Below are 21,946 nucleotides of genomic sequence, written 5' to 3'. Positions count from 1 at the left end.
GGAGCCAGCTGGCCCACAAGCAGTGCAGGTGGTTTTCTAAATGGTTTTCCAGAATTCCTGGTGTAAGGATTTTTGTATGTGATCTGCATTTGCCGCTTTTCTTTTTATTACACTGAGAATAAAGCAGAATTAGACCCTGAATGTCACATATAAAGTTGATAGTCTTTTTGCTTATATGCATTTGTATGTCTATATATGTATATGTACATGTATTTGAGAGAGTATGTGTCACTGTTGTCTAACAGCAAGGAGAAAGTGGAACATTGGAAATTGTAAGTGAACATAACAAGACAATACCCAGTACTTGAGTATTTTTTCCTGGAAAGAATAAAAATAACTTTCAATCATCTTCAAGAAATGTATTATTTTAAGTGAATTCTGAATTATTCATAGGCCCCTGAAAATCATCTCTATTTTTCTGTGTTGGATCTAAGATCTAATAGATGTTTTCCTAGAGGTATATTCATTCTTACACTGTCAATTCACATATTTTATTTTTTATCTCTTGGGAGAGTCCTAATTATTCAACTTTTTCTTTTCTCAAGGTCTACACTAGGAGGAGTTATTAATGTTTCATCAACTGAGTTATAGAAGATCTTCGAGGACATATAGTCAACTTCCTGCACAATGCAGCAAACCTGTCTTAATGTATCTGTTAACAGGTGGTCAACCTGTGATTGAATACTTCCTATTTGCAGAGAATTCACTAGTTCATTCCTCTTCCAGATAGCTCTAATTATTCATGTTCTAATAGTGAACCTACTAATATGTATCAAGCACATTGTGATTTTTCTTACATTGTTATCTTGTAATCTAATAAAACTATATAACTACCTCCTAATTGCTAAATCCAAAGCACATTATTTTAATCTTCATCTTGCTGAAATTCTGTAGCATTGTATGTTACCCATTCATCACTCCATCTCTTGATAGTCTCCCCTGTCTTAGTTTCTTTGATTTCCTTTCCCAATTTCTCTTTTCCATGTGACTTGTTCTTTTCAGTCTCCATGTAAGGGACTTTTCATCAGGGCACTCCCTTAAATATTCTTCTAACACTTTGTCTTTGGCCACAGTCTCCCTGAAATGTCTTCACATTCAGAACTTTGTTATCAATAGCCTCTTTGTATGTCTTCATCCTCAACTTAGCTCCTAAACTCCAGGCCTTTGTATATGAATATTTCCTGAAATTTTCACCTAGATGCCACAGACACCTCAAATTCAACATTTCTAAAAACTTAAGTGTAGTATTTTCCTTACCAAAATTCTACTTTCTTCTTTTGGTCATTAGAACTATGATCCACTAACCAAAAATCTTGATGTTTTTACTATCTCCTTTTCTTCCCCGCTAAGTATATCTTGAATGCTTAGTCTTCTCCACTCCCAAAGCCACTGCCTTAGTTCAAGATCTCATCACTCTTCAGGTTGGTACTATCTAGGTACTGTCTGCTAACTTGTGTCCCACTTCCAGTCTTAGATCCCTCCAGCCTAACTGCCACACTGCTGCTAGAGCAGCTTTTCAAAGATGAGATCTATTTCCTATAGTGAAACTCTCCAGTGACTCCATGTTCCTCTAGAATCAAGCCCAAGCTTCCAAGTACATCATACGAGAAGTCCTTCATGACATGACTCCCATCTTCGTTTCTAGCTTCACCTCTCTTCAGTACACCCTGTCCTCTATTCATTCCAAGTTCAGAAAGTGTCATTTTCTTGTCCTGATGCCTAGTCAATATCTATAACATAGAAAGCTTTGCTTATTAATTTGAACAGCTTGGTTACCCCTCGCTGGACATTATTTCTTAATGTTTCCCTTCAAATATAGTACCAAGAAATTAACATAGTGATGTACCTCACTAGTGCACATTTTAATGGAGCTACTCATCCACTTTAAAAGACATCTCTTTTTGCCATTATGGCCCCAAATAATAGTCACTAACTGACCAGTGCTTGCTGTGTGCCAGACACGGTACTAAATTTTGAAAACACGTTTTCTCTTTAATCATCAAACCAACCCTGTGGGGCAGACATCATCTACATTTTATAGTTTAGGAAGCAGAAACAGAAAGTTTGATACTCATCCCAAAGATCTGATGAAGTTGAAATTCAAAGCCACATCCTTGCAACTCCAAAACTTAGGCTTTTTTGCTATCCAGTGCTGCCTTTGAAATTTTTCAATAGTCTAATCTTAACACCTATAAGCTTGAAGTCAATTAAAATTCACCATTCCAGCTTTTCCTTCACTCTATATTTGCATGATTGTTTGAATCTGTGTGCTGGATTCTGCATTTACATTTATTAAAACAGAATAGTGCTAGCTTTAGCTTTTGTTACCTATTATTCTGATCTAATGACATTGTAAAGCAAAGGAGATGAATTTCTTTTGACATAACTCAGTTTTAGAGAACGTGAGCTGCTACCTTAGTGACCACTAATTTCTTTCCCAAATGGTCTCAAAATTTGCTAAATAATTCTTCCTGAAATTGATAAAGAACTTTAGAATGTTTTTTGTTTGAAAACCGGTATAGAATGTATTCATTCTTTAATGGCACATTACTCCTTTATCATGAATTTTTTAAAGATTATGACAATGCACTTGCTGCTCCAGAGTTTTTGTACCCTTCACTAGATACTTGGACTCCTGTAAATACCTTCCTAATTTTGTGGATTTTAGAACATAGACTAAATGTGTTCTCAGGACACCCAAGAAGTCAGACTTTCACATATGTAGGCAATTAAAATTAAGGGGTATACAAATGATTTACTCTGAAAATACTCATTAGTGCTTTGAAGTCTCTTTAAGAATTATGTAAAATACAAGCTACAGAGGCAGAGACAGGAAAAAGTCAAATATATTTTTGCAAAAATTCAAAGACTTTTTCAACTCTTAATTTTGGAAATGACCAAAGCAAAGATATTCCAAATGAAACATCAAATTTCTTCCAATGAAGTGAAGTGTCAGAAGGGCTTTATAAGCTTTCAAATGTTGTAGCACTGAAGCCATTCCATTCTAAAAGTGCTTAGTGATAGACCTTTTGCATTTTTTAGTAAGTTTCTGTTTGGGCAAAAGGAATCAGATCTAAGTCCTAACTTGTAAAATATAGAACCCATAATAGATAAAACATCGTAAACTGTTTTGTAATGTTCCTATGCAAATGAAAGGGAATAACAAATTTGGTGACATATTAGAGTCCACTCAGAAGACAAGAACTGCATGGTAAAGTGGGAAAGTGTAATATCAATAATTATTAGCAAGGGATTGGAGTAATGGAGGATTGCCTCATAGAGAATGAAAAACCTAAAAATGAACAGGAGTAGCTGATATAGAGAGCAGCCACCACACCTGGCACTGAGATAGAGCGCCCAAGGGAGAGTCCATCCCTTCCCAGGACTGAGGTCTAGACCTCTTCAGAGAGAGTATGACCTTGGCTCATGGGATAGCAGAAAAGTTTACTGAGATGTTACATTGGTGGTACTCACTAGAAATCTAGTCTGGAGTGCTGAGCTGAGGGAAGCCATCTACAGGGGCCATGCCACAACTTGGAAATCACTGCAAGCTACCTAGAAGGAGTGCCAGAGAAGTCATCCAAGGCAAGGTGCCTAGCTGGCATCTCTCTCCTTTGAAACCACCTGAGGGGAGTATGCCAGGAAAAGCCATTTATGGGCTCTCCACTTGCTGCCTGTCTGCTGTGATGCCACGTGATGCCACCTGAAAGGGGTGTACTGGGGGAAGCTACTGGGGTAGATGGGTGGGGGTGTACTTATGTTTCTGGTCACCAGTACTGCTGAAATGAACCACAGATTCTGTAGGAGACCCATGAAAGTGAGCACACCACACCAGGAAAGCATTCCTTCCTTCTCCAGTGTCTCTCCAGCACCCTCTGCTGACAAAGTCTAAGATTGGACCACATGTCATGGGAGAAATATCTGCAGAGTCCACCTACATTATTTTAGGACACTCAAAAAGGGTAGATTTCTGGCTGAGAGGCAATAAATTGATAACTGACATAACACAATCTAGTGACAGATAATTACTATATTTTTCTTCTACTTTCTAGTCAGGTATAGTTACTTCATTTGAAAAATGTGTTCACATTAAATGCTCAAAGAATTTGGGAGTTCAGTACAGTCTATCCTAGATAAATCTATTATATTAGGTTGCTGCAAAAGTCATTGTGGTTTTTGCCATTACTTTCAATACTTCAGAGATCCAGGTATAAATTGTGTAGATTTGTAAGAATGACTGTAGTCTCAATAGATGTTTGTGAAAATTGAGTTGAATTACAGTGTTTCATTTTAAACTACTTTTTATTAAGATATGAGATGATGGGTCTTTCCTCTTGATGAAATGCTTTGAAACTTTATATACTGGAGCATAATTCTGACAGTTATTGAGAACTGTTGCAACATTGGTTATTACAAACTGTTTATGGCAGAAAATGAAAATCAGTTCAAATATTGTCAGTGTGAAGCATCAAATGAGGAAGATGCATATGACACAATCTTTCCTGAATACAATTCTATATGTCTAATTTGTGAACCCCCAACATAATGTCCCAGATCTCCTAGTCATTGAGTAGTCATCGCATTTCCTATGTTTTTGTCCAGTGAGGACAAAGCCTTGTCTGCGTGACAAAGGCTGGGCTAAAGCCTGTTACAATACAGTCCCATGTTTAAGCAAGTCATGTCTGATAGAAAAACAGACTGGCAGGGAAGATAACTGGGTTATGATTACTTAGTGTAGATGAGAGTTTCTGATAGAACATAAACTGCCCGCTTCAGAATCACTTGACATGCTTCATAAAATGCCAATTCTTTAGCCTTTTCTAGGATGGACTTAGACATTGGACATTTTGAACATAGGAACCTGAGTTCCTATGAGAATCTACATTTTGAATAGGTCCCCTAGCTAATTCGCACTTTTACTGATATTCGAGAGCCGGGAGTCAAGGTGATGTTCTTTTTTCAAAAGCAGTATTGGCTAGGGTCATAGTAGTGCTGGTTAGTGAAGCCCAAGCAGGTCACGCTGTTATCATCTCACAGGTAATCAAAGCTTTTGCATTTGCCAGGTGTAGGGGCCAACTTTGGCTGCCTTAAGAAGAATTATTGGAAGCCTATGATGGTATAGCAAATAACTTAAGGATCAGTGTTGGAGAGAGAGGATCCAGGGCATCTCTGAGCATGTATGTAAGCAGGCACTAACTGACGATCAGAGCTGGGTTGAGTCAGCTTCAAACTTTACTGTTTTTTCCTGATCTTTGCACATTTAAGATGAAAGAGAACCTGCTAGGTGCACGCTATGGAGTAGAAAATTTTTAAATAGGATGTTATCAAGAAGGCAGAAGGGATTGTTACTCTATAAGATTCTGATGTTAAAATTTTATACACATGATAACTCTTGAAGAAACTAGCTAAGAGTTTTAAAAGTATTTCATTGCATTCTAAGATAAATCTTAAGATAACAACTTTATATTTTTTCTAATTCTCAGCCTGAATATGCCAATATTTGCTTTTGGTACATTCCACCGAGCCTCAGAGAGATGGAAGAAGGACCCGAGTTCTGGGCAAAACTTAATTTGGTAAGTAATAAGTAAATGGTATTTTTCTTTTTGATGAAGTAGATTCAGTGTACATTATCTGTTGATCCTATAAATAAGAGGGCCTAGCAAGCACAGAATTATCTAGAGAAGTGTCTTCTAGTTTGTTAAAAAGTAATGACAGGCCAAACAGTTGTAGACATTGTTTACATTTAACAAATTAACATGGTTGACACACACCCAAAACAATTAGGTTGTCTGTAAGGTAGAAGTTCTGGCTCACAGTGTACTTCAGGAAGTGACATCTGGTCATGGGACACAAGGTTAAAGTTGTGTGATGAATGACTATTTATTTCAACTCTGCTACTGCATCTCTGACTGTTGTACCACCTTACTTGGAAATAATGTTAGAAGTCTAAATCTGATACTTTTTGTAAGCGTGAGACTGTCTTCAACAAAGGCCCTATGTCTTACACCCAAGGGGATTACATAAAAGAAAAGAGATGCTAAGCAGTGGGTTTCAGCTGATCATCGAACAAAATGTGCTTGGAAGTGTCTTCACACACAGCTGTTGGGGCTGATGATACCGTGTGAGGAGAGGCCCCAGGCTCCAGGGACTGCTTGTGTCTCATCTACTCCTCGCCTAGCATGGCCCTGCCAGTTATAATCCTGCCTCTAATCCAGATTTCCAAGCACTATGGAGTCTCGTGAGTAACACTACTTGATCCCACTTTCTGGATGCATGAACATAATGCATACTGAAAGTGAACCCATGGGAGTTTCACTGGGGATTATGTGGCCATGACATGTAGAGTCCAAGTTCTTATGGGCTAGCACCATTAAAATCAGGCAATTCCCTACCTCTTGAGTGGGATCAAGTCAGCACAGCTGACTTTATGACCCTGGTTAGTAAAAGCTCTGACTTGCAAACCCCTCTCCTTACCCTCAGGGGGAAAACGTTTTTTTTTTAAAAGCAATTTTCATTGTCCATAGCCTATTTTCCCCTTAGAAGACAAAAAACAAAAGACTCCCTACTCAGGTAAGCAACAAACATTTGCTGAGTGTCCACTATACTATGCACTGGAAATACAAACATCAAAAGGACGTGTCTCTGCCCTTGAGAAACTCAATATTCCTAGAGACAATGAGTAAAGAGACAATCACAAGGTAACCAAGAAGTACCTGAATGGAGATTAACTGTTTGCAGTGAAAGTAGAGAGAAAGGGTATCTACCCCAATGTGTGATACTAGAGCTGAGTTTTTAACAATAAGCAGATGTCAGTCAGGGGACAATTTTAAAGAAGCAGATTCCAGGAAGAATCACAGCATGAGAACTCAGAGGCTCAAGAGGGGAGAATGTGATTCAAAGACCACAGGGGTGCAAAGAAGCAGTGATGGGAGGTGAGAAGAGTAACAGGCAGAGGGAGGGTCATGGGAGCCTTGCCTTCCACGGCAGAAAGCTTGGGATTTTTGCCCCAGTCTAACTAGAAGGAAGAGGGCAGAACATAGCCTTTAAGTCATGGTCACTGATTGCCTCACTTGGCAGCGTGTCCTTTTAGCTTCAGGTCATTTTCTGTTTATTCATGGCTCAAACCTCCTAACCTGTAACATAATAGATGACCAATACAGAATACACCTCTTATCAAACCCTCTCAGGGAGCAAAGATGTGGAGAGATGGATGGTGTTATATCTGTGCCCTTATCCATTTCAGGCAGGTAGCATAGACTTTGGGGATTTGTCTTGTATTTGTCACACACAAAATAGCAAAGTGCTTAAGAATACATTTCAGATGTTAAGTAACCCATAAAGAGAAACAGGAACTGGACAATGTGAGAATTTAGTGGTGAAGTTTAGAGGAACATTTTTTCACTATGATGGGATGTGGCTGACATTTTTTAGTAGGGTAGAGAAAGAAATTACAAGTTGAGAAAGATAGGGTCACCATTTTTCTCACTAAGCTAGAAATTGTTTACGAAAAACAATGAAGAATGTGATATTTGTGTCTAACTCAGTACTGTTGGACTGACAGGGATTAGAATAACTAGACAGACTCATGTTTGTTTTTAGAGAAATTGAAATTGAGTATGGATATATAAGCTAATCTCAAATACAGAATATAATGCATTTTTTTTTTCCAAGACGGAGTCTTGCTGTCGCCCAGGCTGGGGTGCAATGGCACGATCTCTGCTCACTGCAACCTCCGCCTCTCGGGTTCAAGCGATTCCCACATCCCTAGTCTCCCGAGTAGCTGTGATCACAGGCACCCACCATCATGCTTAGCTGAATTTTTGTATTTTTGTCGAGATGGGGTTTCACCATGTTGGCCAGGCTTTGACCTCAGGTGATCCACCTGCCTCGGCCTCCCAAATTGTTGGGATTACAGGCGTGAGCCACCGCACCCAGCCTGTAGTGCACTTTTTATCTTAATTGGGAATTGAACAGGAATTGGGACATTCTCTTATCCCCAATATTTGCCAAAATGGATGATCATACAGTAAATATCCAGTTTATTTTTTTTACTGTCAGCCATCTTGGACTCTCCATCCCTTAATTTTGGAAATGCTTTTCTGCCATTTACAACCATGGTTTCCCCTTGCCTGATCTAGTAACAACTTCATTTGTTATAGTTGCTACTGAATAGAAAAAATGCATGCTGCAGACAAATTATCACTGGTTCTGAGTTTCTTAATTTCCTATCATTCTCTCCCTGCAAGTCAGGAAGTGTGCATGAATTTGGCAAGGGGGAAGGGAGATTATATATCACATAGTTTATGAGGTTTTATGCTTACTGTAGAATGAGAATACAAGTATATGATTTATAACCTGTAGTGTACTTAAAGCACACTTGAAATTTATTTCAGGGTTTATCTTGGATAGAGAATCACAAATCAAATAAGGCTTTGCCCCTCTGATTCAGACTAACGTCAGGTTGAGCTGTCACATTTCAGAATCGCTGGTGCGATAAATCTTCCATTTGGCGGCAGAAGGGGAGAGGGATTATTTGGTAATGAATCTGGAGAGTTGAAGGGTATGAGCGCATATGTATGCTTGCAAGTATGTGCACGTACGTGAGACTATTTGAGAACACAATCACTGTAGCCTAACAATGCAATGACACTGTGATACTGGATGCCTGAGTTCCAACGACTTCACTTTTTCAAGACGCCCTCCGTAAAATCCTCCTCTGACTCTCACTCATTATGATATCTTAGGTCTTCATTACTTCCCTACCTAGATTGTATTTGTCTCTTTTCTGGTCTCTCTGCCTCCTGCCATCTCCTTTTCCAGTTTATTTTCTTTACCGTCAAGCCCCTCTTTACCTCCGTCTCTGCTTCTTCATGTCACTCTTCTGCTGGAAGTCTCTGACTTGCTTCCTGTTCCCTAGTCCCATATAGCAACAGTTCTCAACCCGGTCAGAGTCAATGACCACTATTTATAGTAAATATAATATTTAGGAGAATAATATACCCTTTACTCTCCTAAAATGAAACCAATGAAATACATGACCTCCCTATACAGTTTTGTAAAAGGCAACATAAGACTTTATATACAATATGAAAGAGAAAGTTTATAAGAAAAGTTTTATTATATAAATACTTGAGCATGACAGTATTGGAATACATAAGGAAGTGATAAGATTCTTGCATATACTCTTAGAAACACAGTGAATGTAGTCTATGAATGCAGACTATTATAAGTAGGTGATGTTAGTGATGAAAACAGCAACAGTGTGGTATTAATGATATACTTTTCAAAAATTATGAACTTTTGCGAATACTCTGAAGAAATCATTTTTCCCTTGCTTTACATGGTAGTAGAAAACTATTAAAAATGGCCACAAAATATTTGGCATTGGTATGTTAAACAGTTAGGTTCTGCGCTTGAATAATTATAACCAAGCTTCTTACCTCATACATTTCTACTAGGACATTTGAAAGTTGTGTAAAACATGGGACACAGTTCAATGTCACTCAAGATTGCTCTACACAGTGCAGGGCAGCTGACACCTCTGGTTTCCACCTACTAAATGCCAGTAGCAACCCTCTCAAAATCATGAAAATCTGAAACATTTACCCAAATTTCCTAGGTATTCCCTAGGAATGTTGTACCATTTCCTTGAGAACCACTGTCTCACAGGATAAAATCTTACCATATCTTACCAATCGAATCTTGTCTCTTTGGCATCCAAAGCTCTCCATGTCTGAGTAAATTGGGCCAGAGGAGTTAGGAAACACTGGAAATTGGGTACTGGATATCTTTCACTAATCAAATTGACAAATCACTGTAGTTTTTAATGTTGATGTCTACTGTTGGTGAGCGTCAGGAGATTCCTGTAAGCTATTCATGGGTAAATTTTGTACCATTTTTCTGAAAAGCAACATTATAAAACATATCAAATATCTTATCTTTCAGCAATTCCTTTTCTAAAAATGTATTAAGTTATAGAAATATGGAGGAGAAGCTACTAAGACATTCATAGGCATTATTTTAAAATAGCAAATATTTCAGAAGAAACTATTCAACTATAAAGAGCTGGCTAAATTTTAGTACATAACTTATAAACAAATTTGTAGTGTCCAGACAAGATTGTGTTTCAAAATAATTCATATTAAAAAGGGGTTTAAAACAGCCACTGTAGTATATTAATATCGAAATTTTATGCTTAAGTATACTTAAGTACATGTAAAATACTATGTTTTAAGGGTGCATAAGAGGTGCCAAAATATTTTTAGAGATAAAGTTGCAGGCGATTTCTTTTATATTTCTCTGCAATTTGAAAATTTTCTATAATGTATGTTTGTGAAAATAAGATAACATTAAAAAGATACCTTAGTGGAGTAATTGATCCAATGAAGCCAGATTTCCTTGAGTGCTTTATCTAGACAAAAAGTTATCCAGGTTTTAACCATGTATTCCCCCAAGGGCCAGAAAAAAATAAGCATTAATCCCAATATGGTACGTTTTTACCATTTAAAAATTATCTACATGTATTACCTTAGAAATATAGCATGTAGATTTAACAACAAAGTTTTTATAAGGATGAATTTTAAGGTTTTAAATATTAAAATGTTTTAATCTTTTCTTATTGTACCACTCTAAGGATCATGATTATACAATAATTAATTAGTTTGCAAACTATTTTCTCATGATGTGTTCCCAGGTATTGTGTCCAATATGTCATTCCTCCCTATCTCTCCCCTCCTTCCTAACACACAGTATCTGCATTGGTTTTAAGTTTAGACGCATTGCTAGTGGTGGTTCCTAGTGATCTTCAATAGGCTTCCTAGGTTTCCCTGAAAGCTTCGGGCATTGTGGTAGAGTTACACTTCGCTTTTGTTTTGTTAAGACAGAGTCTCACTCTGTCACCTGGGCTGGAGTGCAGTGGCACAATCTTGGCTCACTGCAACCTCCACCTCCTGGGTTCAACCGATTCTCCTGCCTCAGCCTCCCAAGTTGCTGGGATTACAGCTGCTCACCACTATGCCCTGATAATGTTTTGTATTTTTAGTAGAGATGGGGTTTCACCATGTTGGCCAGGCTGGTCTCAAACTCCTGACCTCATGATTCACCCACCTCAGCCCCCCAAAGTGCTTGGATTACAGACATGAGCCACCGCACCCAGCCCTATACACTTTGCTTTCTAAAGTAACTTCCTGAAATAAGTTTGTATCTTTGCTTCTTCTGAAGCTGCCTTATAGTGGTCAGATATTGAGGATGAGAAAGTTGAGGATAGAATGCAAAGATAAGATGGGAAATGTTAGACCCCAGAGAATGTAATTGAAAATTCCACTAGTTTGTTTTGCCCCATCATTACTCAGTATTCTGATGTAGAATATTTCTTATTTTGTCAATATTTCATAAATAAGTACACTATGCCAACACAATTTACGTTCTTAAAAGTAATTAACAAGCTGTCTTTTCGTATTCATGTATGGTTATTTCAATTTTTTCCATTTGCTGACCTGCAGATTTGTGACTAATGTTAGTCATTTATAACAGGCTCCTTTCTCCTTAATAGTAGAGGAGAAATAAATCTTAAAATCTACTTGACGGGTTTGTTTTATTGTTTGGTGATAAAACTTGATGATATTCCAGATATCTTTAGAAAGAGTTTAGTATTCTCCCTGGCAGGTTTCTGATTAACGGCACTTGAAGATGAGACTGCATAATCTGAGTAGGGTGATGTGCTTCCGTGGAAACCTCACAGTGAAGACATCTACACAGGCTGCTGCTTTGGATTTTAGGGAGGGCTTCAGTATCTCTTTCCTTGCCCCATTTATTTCCTGAATGTCTTTTTGCATGTCTAATATCTGGACTTAGGAGCGGCTAGAAATAACAGCAATCCTGTGTATAACGTCTCCTGATCTCTTAGGGACTTGTAGATATGCATACACACATGCACACATGTTCACAAATTAATTGAAAGCTGTGTATTTTTCAGAACTCTGATTTTGTCATTGTCTTTGACATTAGTATATTCAGTCACTCATTTTTGGACTGTGAACTAAAAGCACCTGTGTCTTTAAAGGTGCAGCACTTTAAAAAATGTTCAAAGATGAGGTTCTTTTTTAAACCTTATGCTACAGAATTTATAGTATATCCTTCAAAAATCCTGTTTCCTAGTAGTTATCACTCGCTTTCAAGCTGTACTTTAAAATTTATGTTTAAAGAGTCTAATATCAAAGTGCCTTTTAAAGAAAATAGCTCTAAATGTGACTTAAGAGGCTCCCCTTACTTGGATAGTGGCTGGCATTGTAGATTTCAAGAATGCTTAACTAATGAATGTCCTGAATTTTGTAGATACCGTATGCTCTTTCCCCAAACCATTAAAACCTAAGATAAAATGTTGTTTTAAGTATTCTGTCAGGTAGAGATATTATGTACAATTTGTCATGCATTCTAATGGTTATCAGTTTTGTTCTTATGCCATTCTGCAACTAAGGGTCAAGAAGCCACTTAGGTACTTCTGATAATTATGGCCAGCTTCAGCAATCAGCTGAAGAAGCTGGAGTGTTCCTTCAGCTGAAGGGCAGGGAATACTCAGTGCTTTTCTCGCTTTTATGCTCAATCTCTTTTCTAGTTAATTATTGTCTTTCTAAATATACTCCACTGGATTTATACAATTCCAACCAACAAAAAGTTCCAATAAAATTCTTGTTGTATGCGCATGTTTAACGGGAAGTTCATGATGAGTTTTCCTTTGTATTTAATAGCATCTTTCAACGCATAAAATTTGTTATTACTTTGCTTATTTGCTGATTAATATATTGTTTTGTGGTCTAAACATTTTCATAGATGTGTTTTGTGGATAGTAACTTGAACTCTCCAGAAAAGCCAGATAAGTACAGATGTCCTCATTATAAATTTTTTTTTCTTTCCTTGAGCTTAACAGCCTCTCTTCTCTTGTTTCTGTTGGATTGTTCTAATTTATTGTGGCATAAGTTCTGAGTTTAGCCTATCTCTTGAAAATTAAAATAAAGAATGAAGCTGGCATTTCTGCAGGCTGAGGCTGAGCTCACGGGCCTGAGGTCAGGATGAGACCAGTTCTCTGAGCTCATGGGCCTGAGGTTAGGATGAGACCAGTTCTCAGGAATTTTTGTGGGAGTGGCCACCCACAGCTAACAGTAAACACTTGTTCACTTGTGACCTACTGATCCACTGGGCACCCTCGATGACAGTCATGGGAGATGAGGCCAAGGAACACAGCTAAATCTGCATTTCATGAACATCTATTGTTCTGCACACATACATGAGGCATGAGTATACTATTCTCTGTACGGAGTGCCACTGGCTTTCTGTGTAACATTTGCACATGAGCCAAGTTTATCATTTAAGTCTGTTTCTTTAGCGTCTGTTCGTGTAAGGTCTACGTGAAATAATTCTGAATTCCCAAGTATATCAGAGTGAACATCGAGGAAAGGCAGAAGCTTAATTAATGCTTATAGGCCACTTACCACTGTGTCTCTGATTTTATTTGGTTTACTCAGTCGAGTTGCAAACCCAAGTACGTATAGAAGCTAGACAAGTAGCATAAATGAGAGGAGCCTGAGCATAACATAGTAGGGAGTGATGGGGACTGTGATACACTGAAGTATATTGGTCCCAGCTAAAGGGAACAACCTCTACTCAGCTCCTAATCATGACTGCCATGCAGGAATGCAGGCCAGGGTTGCCGGGTCTTATTTTTAAGAGAAGCTAGATAATACACAGATGATTACGTGAACCCTTTGTTTTTAATGTTTTCAATATTGGTAAGTGATTTAGAAATGTGTAATATCTTACCTAAATTCGTCAGTCCTTGATTACCTGTGTGTCACTGGAAGCTCCTTGAGATGAGAGTTTGTCCCTTCATCTTTGCTCCTCCATGGCAGCAGTTCTGGGATTGGCCCACTATCGACTGAGGGATGCTTGAGCTCTCTCATCTACTAGAAGATAACGGTCTCATACTGTCAGATCTGTCAAGTAGTGGGTGTTTTAAGGACGGTGACCTTGTGGCAAATGTGGCAACACAGTTTAGACATATGGGTGTGGGTGCATTTTGATCTTGTGTTTTCTCCTTTCCGGATTCCAAGAACTAGATGGGGCCTCTGGGCTTCAATGCCTCTCCTGAAGTTTGTGTGTTCTGAAGATGTCTATCTTCCTAGATGTTCTTTGTAGCCTAAGCTGGCCCATGATTAGACCATAGAGGAGACAAAGAGGCAGGCACAGGGGGGAAGCAGGAGGAATTTCCCTCAAGCCAGAAGAGGGTACAGGAGACAATTTCTACAGATAGGAATCATCCTCAGCTTCCCTCTTTGCGTAACCTAAGGAGGTATCTGGGTGTGTGTGTGTGCGTGTGTGCATACGTTCCAGACATTGGAACTTCTGCCCCTATCCTAACAGATAAGGATACAGCACTGTCACCATGTACCAAGACATCATGTTGGTTCAGGTCATAAGTATTTCACTAGTCGCTGGATGGACCGATGACCTAAATACGAGCACTGAATAAGATCCTCATCTCTACAGAATGCTTTGGGGCTGTGGGAGCTGTAATAATGACTGAGTGACTTTCAGCCTTGCCTAGGATGGTGGCTTGCAGTTGAATTTAATTTTATTTAGAGAAAATAAAGTACAGTACTGTGACATTTCTTGCACACTTGAGTTCATGGAGCAAAATCCATACCCACAACACAACCATTAAGGAAAATGCTCTGGACTTGATGCAGTTTGTTGTTGCAAAAACAAAGAATAGACCCCTGGGCTGAAAGGAAAAGACTTTTTCCATGGTCTCTTTGAAGTGCTTTTGCCAGTGCCCAGCCTGCCCCCTGGTGGCACTTTTGCTCATGTTTTCGTTCACAGCTGGAAAATGACACACTAAATGCGGAGTGAACAAATGCTGTGAAAATGTTATAGAGTTACAGCATCACAGGTGTCAGGGTATCCGGTTCTGCCAGACCAAGAAAGACTCACCTAAGTCAAATTCTCAGAGATCAAATTGTTCCTTCTCTTCACTTCAAATGTTTCTTTCTTCATCTTTATCTCAGAGGAAGTCACATCCCTTCTCCAAAGCAAACTTTTCCACATTTGCCTTTGAGGCTTCTTTGTGCCTCAGAGGTCTTTGCACCTCCAGTCTCGCCACTCTTCCTTCTCCGCCTCTCCTCCCCCTCCCCACCCCTTCTCTCTCCCCCTCTTCTCCTTCTCAAAATTTCATTCTTATTTCCTCTAATATCTTGTTCCCCCTCAATTGATAAATATGTCCAAGGCTTCAATGAAATAAATGACAATTTTTCCTTAATGTTTTCCCCTCAAGCTACTTCACTGTCTCTTTCCTCATCCCTTTGGACCAAACTCCTGAAAATAAAAATCTTCAAATGGCTTGCCCTCTATAACAAGTAGTCCCTTCTCATAATTTATAAAACCATTCTCAATTTGGGGCATTTAGGTTTCCAGGGTTTTGCTATTGTAAACAATAACAGATGAACATCTTTTGCTCACATCTGCTTTTGCTATTATTTCCAGACGATAAAGTGCTCAAAATGTAATTGCTGCCTGAAAAAACTCATGCAGCTTTGAGCCTGATTAGCTTTGTATTACTAATTTTTAAGAAGTCTGTATACATTTGCAATGCCAGCAGTAAGGAATGAGTACACAAGCTTCAATCTAACTAACATTGGGTGTTATAAGGATAAGGGGGGGGGGGGTATGGGGAGTTATTTAGAAGGTAAAAAATCCTATCTCAAGTTTATTTTGCACATATTTATTAATTGTTGGTAGGCTGAACAATTTCTCTTTACTGATTGTCAGTGTATTCATTTTTTTCATATTTTAAGTATTTATATTTTGAGATCTGATGTTTTTCCTTATAAATTTGAATAAGGGTAACATGGTTTGGGTTTTAAAGCTGTCTTTGTAGCATGGAATGCAAATATGGCCTTCAGTAATAATATCCTTTGTATTTAGTCTTCTGTACGATGAAAAAACAGCAAGTTTTAAATTTTTTATGTATTCAAATCTGTCAATCTTTTCCTTCATAATTTATTCCACTGCTTCAAAGCTGAAGTTACTGTTTTCTTATAAACCTGATATTCTATTCCATCTCCTGCTGGCTTTACTGTCATTCAATTTTTTGTATTTAAATCCTTAATCCATGTAGAAGTTATTTTAGTGTATCATGCAAAGTATGAATCTAACCTGATCATTTCCTCAAAGTATTATCAAGTTTTTCTAATTAATTCCTCCTAACACTTTATTATGGGGTCTTATGTTACAATTTTAAAAACTATTTCAGTTTTCCAATCTGTTCTATTGATCTGCGTTTCTGTTTTTGTGCCAAGAACCAAAGGATTTAAATGGCTTTCCTTTACGATAGGTTCTCAAATCTGCTAATACTCTATCCTCCTGGATCTTTTGTAAAATAGCATTCTTTAATATTTTTCATTTTTATATGTTTTAGAACTCTTTAAGTTAAAAAGGGCATCTTTTAAATATTCTTATTGAAGATTAAATCACTGATTCTGAAGTAAATAATGCCTCTGCCACTCACTGGCTGCATGACCATGAACAAGTTACTGAAACTTGCTTTCCTTTTCATTTTTTCCATCAATAACAGGAGGATATTTAAAAACTACCTGCACCTCACAGAACTTTGATGGGGATTACAGTATTTAAGCATTATACCAAAGTGCTTAGAATAGTGCCTGGCACAGAGTAAATGCTTGATAAACATTAGCTTTCATTATTATTCATCCTGTTACCTCATATTTGAAGGACTATATGAGCCCCAGATATCTTCTCCATGCCTTTTTGTTTGCTTAACAAAATACCTTAACACTATCACAATAATAGACTTCCTAAAGTCCAACTCTCAATATGTCACTCATGTTTCCCCCCTTGTCCCATAGGAAAGTCTATGATCATTCAGGGACTACAGTGATCTGATTTACTCAACCTTCTTACCTTGTCCTCTGCTAATCCTATTTATGTCCCCTGCAGTCTAGCTGACTGAGCCACCTGCTCTCTCCTGTCTTTACTTGGAAAGCCAGCCTATCACTGTCATCAAAAACACACTGGCTTGGCAGTCAGAAAAACCTGGATGAAAGTTCTGGCTTCATCTTTGTGGTGTGCCTTTTGGTACAGTACATTACCACTCCATACCTGTTTCCTCATTAAGAGAAAAAAAATCACAGTAATGATATGTTATGGATTTTCAGGGACTAAATAGGATAGTACATGTAAACCACTTCACATAGTGCTAAGTGGGACAGGCTACATAATTTGCAGAGCCTGATGTGAAGTAAATGTGGGGTTCCTTTTCCAGAAACTACTAAAAATTTCAAGATGGCCACAGTAGAGCATTACCAAGCATGGGGCCCCTTGTCAGCTCAGGAGCTTGTGTGACTGTGCTGGTTGCACATCTTCAAGACATCCCTGATGCTCAGGGTTAATGAGAGTGAATTTAGCATTCCTACCTCCTAGTATTTTCTCTCTGCTTTCATCCCTGATGCCTTGTGCCTATATTCTACCACCTCTTCATTCTTGGTGCCCCATGTTCAATTTCCTCCTGGAGGCCTCAGATATATACTTGTTTCTTCCTCTGAATGGGGAATGATGCAGTCTTTTGTAAGCCATTTATAACTTTTAACCAATATCATTTAACCAATACAGTCAATTTTTATGTCTGACTCCAATTTAAAATTAGAAGGTCAGCCTCTCAGCTTTCCCAAGACTTATTTCCTGGCACCTGAGCATGAGTACCCCTTTTCATATACTCTTATGACACATTTTCTTCCCGTCTTGCCAGTTACGATAATAAAGCAATATTTGGGAGGGGAGTTGGGAAAGATTATGTCAAGCTAGAGGCGAGAGAAACAGACAAATTATGCAATGCATAGGAGAAAATGGCTGATGAATTTTAAGCATAGGGATGATGCATTACAATTCCCCTATGATACAGTAGATTGCAGGGGAGATGAAGGTGGGGACAATGTGTCACATTAGGGTCATATTTGAGTTTCAACCCTTCCAAGCCTGGCTAGTACAAAAACTCATGCAAAATAAAAATGTGGGGCTCCTTGTTTCAAAATTACCCAGAGTTTTAAGATGCTGACAGCTGAGCATTAAACCAAGCATGCCCTTCTGAGGGCAGGGCCTTGTTCAGCTGCACAGGTTGCACACCCATGAAGCAAGCCCTGGTACTGAATGTTTAATAATGGGGTTGATTGTCCTTGTATGTTTTCACAATGTTATCACATAGTAGATGCATAGAAAATAATTTATTGATTCATTCAGCAAAATAAGGCATGAACTTCATTTGGGCAACTTATATGCTTATTGTGGCTTCCTGAAGACATCATGGTTTGTTCTTTGTCCATTATCCCACCTGTAGTTTTACAGAATATGACTACTCATCCTGAAAGTGTGAGTTGGTCTGCAGTAAAAACCTAGGATCATATTTTTATCTGGCTTTTGATGTGCAGGAAGAGCCGAGAGCCACCACTTCTTATGAGTGGTGATCCATGTGGGGAATTCGGGATAAGGACAGCTTAAGGAAGACATGTTAGGGGAGATGAACATTTTGATGGCTCTTCTAATGTTGCCTTTGAGGGAACTACCTCTGTCTTGCGTAAATCTAGCAGTTAGTGTTGTAAGTTGCTATTTAGTTTTGGTTCTGCTGGTCAAATCATCAGTTCGGAAGGAAAAAGTCAATTTGCAGTTGTGACTACAGATGGCTAAACCTGCATTGTCAGACTTTTCCTGCAATCTGTCCTTGGATTATGCTGTTTCTTATGAAAATGTCCCCCCTCTTTGCAGGATGTTCTAGAAATGGTAGTGCCTCACTGTTTTAGGGGTAGGTAGGGATAATTCAAATGTTGGCAGTGCCACAGCAGAGCTTGCTTTAGTCAACTGTAATATCACTTGCCTAATTCCGAATGGAGATTGTCAGTACAACCTGGGGTGAGCCGACACTGAAGTATACCGAGGTGGACTAGAATACTGTGGCAGTTTAGTTTGGTACTAATCATGTCTATCATGTGAGTTAACAATTCTTAAGTGTAAGATGATCAGAGAATTCACATGGGAACTTGCCTACTCAAACAATATATTTATTGAGCATCTATTGTGTTCCACTGTTCTTGGTGCTTGGGACATGCTTCTCGAGTGATTTCCTCTAATAAAATGCTCAGCAAGGGGCTTAGAAAAATAACAAGGGACCAAGTAGTACGAAAGAGTTGGAAAGAAAATGTAACTACACTTGGCTCTACTTCCATTTTTACAGGAAAAAAAGCTCAGTTTGATTCAGTTTATAATGCACTGGAGTCTTGTAGTTTCGCTTTTCTTATGAGTTACATAACTCAAGAGAATTATGTTTTAAGTGTAATCTAACAAATTTTGCATGGTTTCTCTTAGAGTCTACACACCAGAATCTATCAGATCATGTCTTAGAAATTAGTTTCTACTGTGTATCTTCTTACAAATTTGAGTAGGGAAAATGACTCGGATCTAAAAATCTCTTAAGAGAATTTTTCTTCATGTCCTCAGTTACTTAAGAACTAAGTTTTGAAAAACTTTAAGTATAAAATCACTTCAGTAAAGCGTTAATATATTTAATAAACATAAGTATATATAATGTACATTTGCATTTTTATGAATGTTAAAACTTTCTATGCTATTCTGACCAAATTACGGAGTATTTTAAATCCTGTATCCTCATTTAGAGATTTGAGGTTTGTTTAGTAGAAATATTTTATGTATTTTATTCTTTGTTAAGAAAAAAGTCAATGGGAAGATTTTTTCCTTTTTATTATCAAGAGAATTTATAAAATCATTTTTCAAATATGGATAACCAAATTATATCATTTTAAGGTGATATTTTCTGATATCTTCACATTTAGAATTTTCTGGTCAAAAGCTGACTAAGGATTATGTTATCTATATCTCTATAGATGGAGAGATAGATAAAGATATGGTCTTTAAGACTTACAATGCTTAGACCTAAGGATTTTTCAACTTTACAATGTGAGAAACTGTTGCAATTTTGATGTAACGTATGGTATTCAATAAATTCTGAGATACGCAACACTATTATAAAATAGGCTTCCTCTTAGACTATAGTTGGGCAAAATCATCTAAGTCTGAGCATATTTAAGGTAGATTTGGCTAAGTGGTGATATTTGGTAGGTTAGGTGTAATAGTTTTGACTTACAATATTCCCCCCCACCCCCACCCCCCGCCGCCGAGACGGAGTCTTGCTCTGTCGCCCAGGCTGGAGTGAGGTGGCATGATCTCGGTTCACTGCAAGTTCCACCTCCCGGGTTCAGCCATTCTCCTGCCTCATCCTCCCAAGTAGCTGGGACTACAGGCGCCGGCCACTATACTTGGTTAATTTTTTGTGTTATTTTTAGTAGCGACAGGGGGTTTCACCGTGTTAGCCAGGATGGTCTCAATCTCCTGACCTTGTGATCCACCAGCCTCGGACTCCCAAAGTGCTGGGATTACAGGCGTGAGCCACTGTTCCTGGCCAATACTTTCAATTTATGATGGGATCATGGGTATGTAACCCCATTGTAAGCTGAGGAGTATGTATATGTATAAATACACATACAGAGTTCTACTTGACACATGACTTTACCTATTTATGGTGCTAGATTTTTAATTGTCAACCTAAAATGATATCAGTATATGGAAGAGATAACTGCACTCCCATGTTTGTTGTAGCACACTGTTTACAATAGCTAAGATTTGGGAGCAACCTAAGTGTCCATCTACAGATAAAGTATGGTACATATACACAATGGAATACTAGTCAACCATAAAAGAATGAGATCCAGTCATTTGAAACATGGATGAACTGGAGATTGTAATGTTAAGTGAAATAAAGCAAGGAAAAGAAAGACTAACATCACATGTTTTCAGTTATCTGTGGGATCTAAAAATCAAAAACAATTGAGACTAGAAAGATAGTTACCAGAGAGTGGGAAGGATAGTGGGGGTCTGGGAGGTGGGCATGGTTAATGGATCCAAAATAAAAAGAATGAAGGAGACCTATTATGACTGCACAATAGAGTGACTATTCAATAACTACATTTTTAAATAACTTAAAAAGTGTGGTTGGGACATTTGCAACTCAATAGATAAATGCTTGAGGGAATGTATACCTCATTTTTCATGATGTGCTTATTTCAGTGCATGCCTGTATCAAAACATCTTATGTACCCCCAGAATTATATACACCTACTATGGTGCCCACAAAAGTTAAAAGTTTATTATAAAAATGTTAAGTTTCTAATCTGACTTTGAAGTTGTTTGTTGAAGTACATGAGTTCAGATATGCTTTGTGTATTTTTTCATGCTTGACAATTCAAAAATCGCATGAAAACTTCAGTCTTCGAAGGACCCTTATATATTGAACTACCAGGTAGAAAAGGAAGCCTTTTAAAGCATATGTCCTCACTTCTCTTTTCTCACCTAGATTACTGCCATGAACCTTCTCAACATAATTCACTTACTCCTAGCATCGTCACTACCCCAAGCCCCTCTTCTCTTCACTGTTAGAGGCCTTGCATAAACAGCCATTGACTCCTTCAAATTCCACTATGTAAAGACTTTCCTGCTGCCTTCTCTATAAAACATGGGTTCCTAAGCAGGGCAGTCAAGATATTTGGTGATGTAGACTGTCTCCTGCATCCAGACCTCTCACCTACCCACGTCACATTGCAAGACCTGTACTCACTGTCTCGGCTCTTTTGTGCCTTGGTTTCAGATACTCTATTAGATTCTCACTCCCACGGCCCCAGATATTATATACATATAATACATATACACATGCATATAAACTTCATATTATATATCCTGTGAAATGCAGCATTTGTGTTGTGCTGTTTCAAGATTGCCATTCAAAATATTGACCATAGGTTTGAATCTAATTGGTAGA

At 38.1% G+C, this 21,946-nt stretch overlaps 1 protein-coding gene across 3 annotated transcripts in view; it reads left to right on the top strand.

Annotated features, from left to right (window-relative positions):
- Positions 1-21,946, top strand: part of GADL1 (glutamate decarboxylase like 1) — a 168,465-nt gene that overhangs the window by 110,910 nt on the left and 35,609 nt on the right. For 2 of the 3 annotated variants that reach the window (NM_207359.3, XM_017006297.2), the window contains exon 14: positions 5,484-5,573. In NM_207359.3, the coding sequence (NP_997242.2) occupies positions 5,484-5,573 (90 nt within the window). Of the gene's footprint in view, positions 1-545; positions 842-5,483; positions 5,574-21,946 lie in introns of those variants that run through there. The other variant, XM_047448071.1, reaches the window with a different exon arrangement.

The sequence above is a fragment of the Homo sapiens genome, chromosome 3, assembly GCF_000001405.40.
Source record: "Homo sapiens chromosome 3, GRCh38.p14 Primary Assembly".
Classification (NCBI taxonomy): Eukaryota; Metazoa; Chordata; class Mammalia; order Primates; family Hominidae; genus Homo; species Homo sapiens.
The sequence above is the reverse complement of the archived record's forward strand: the minus strand, read 5'-3'. Positions and strand labels throughout refer to the sequence as shown.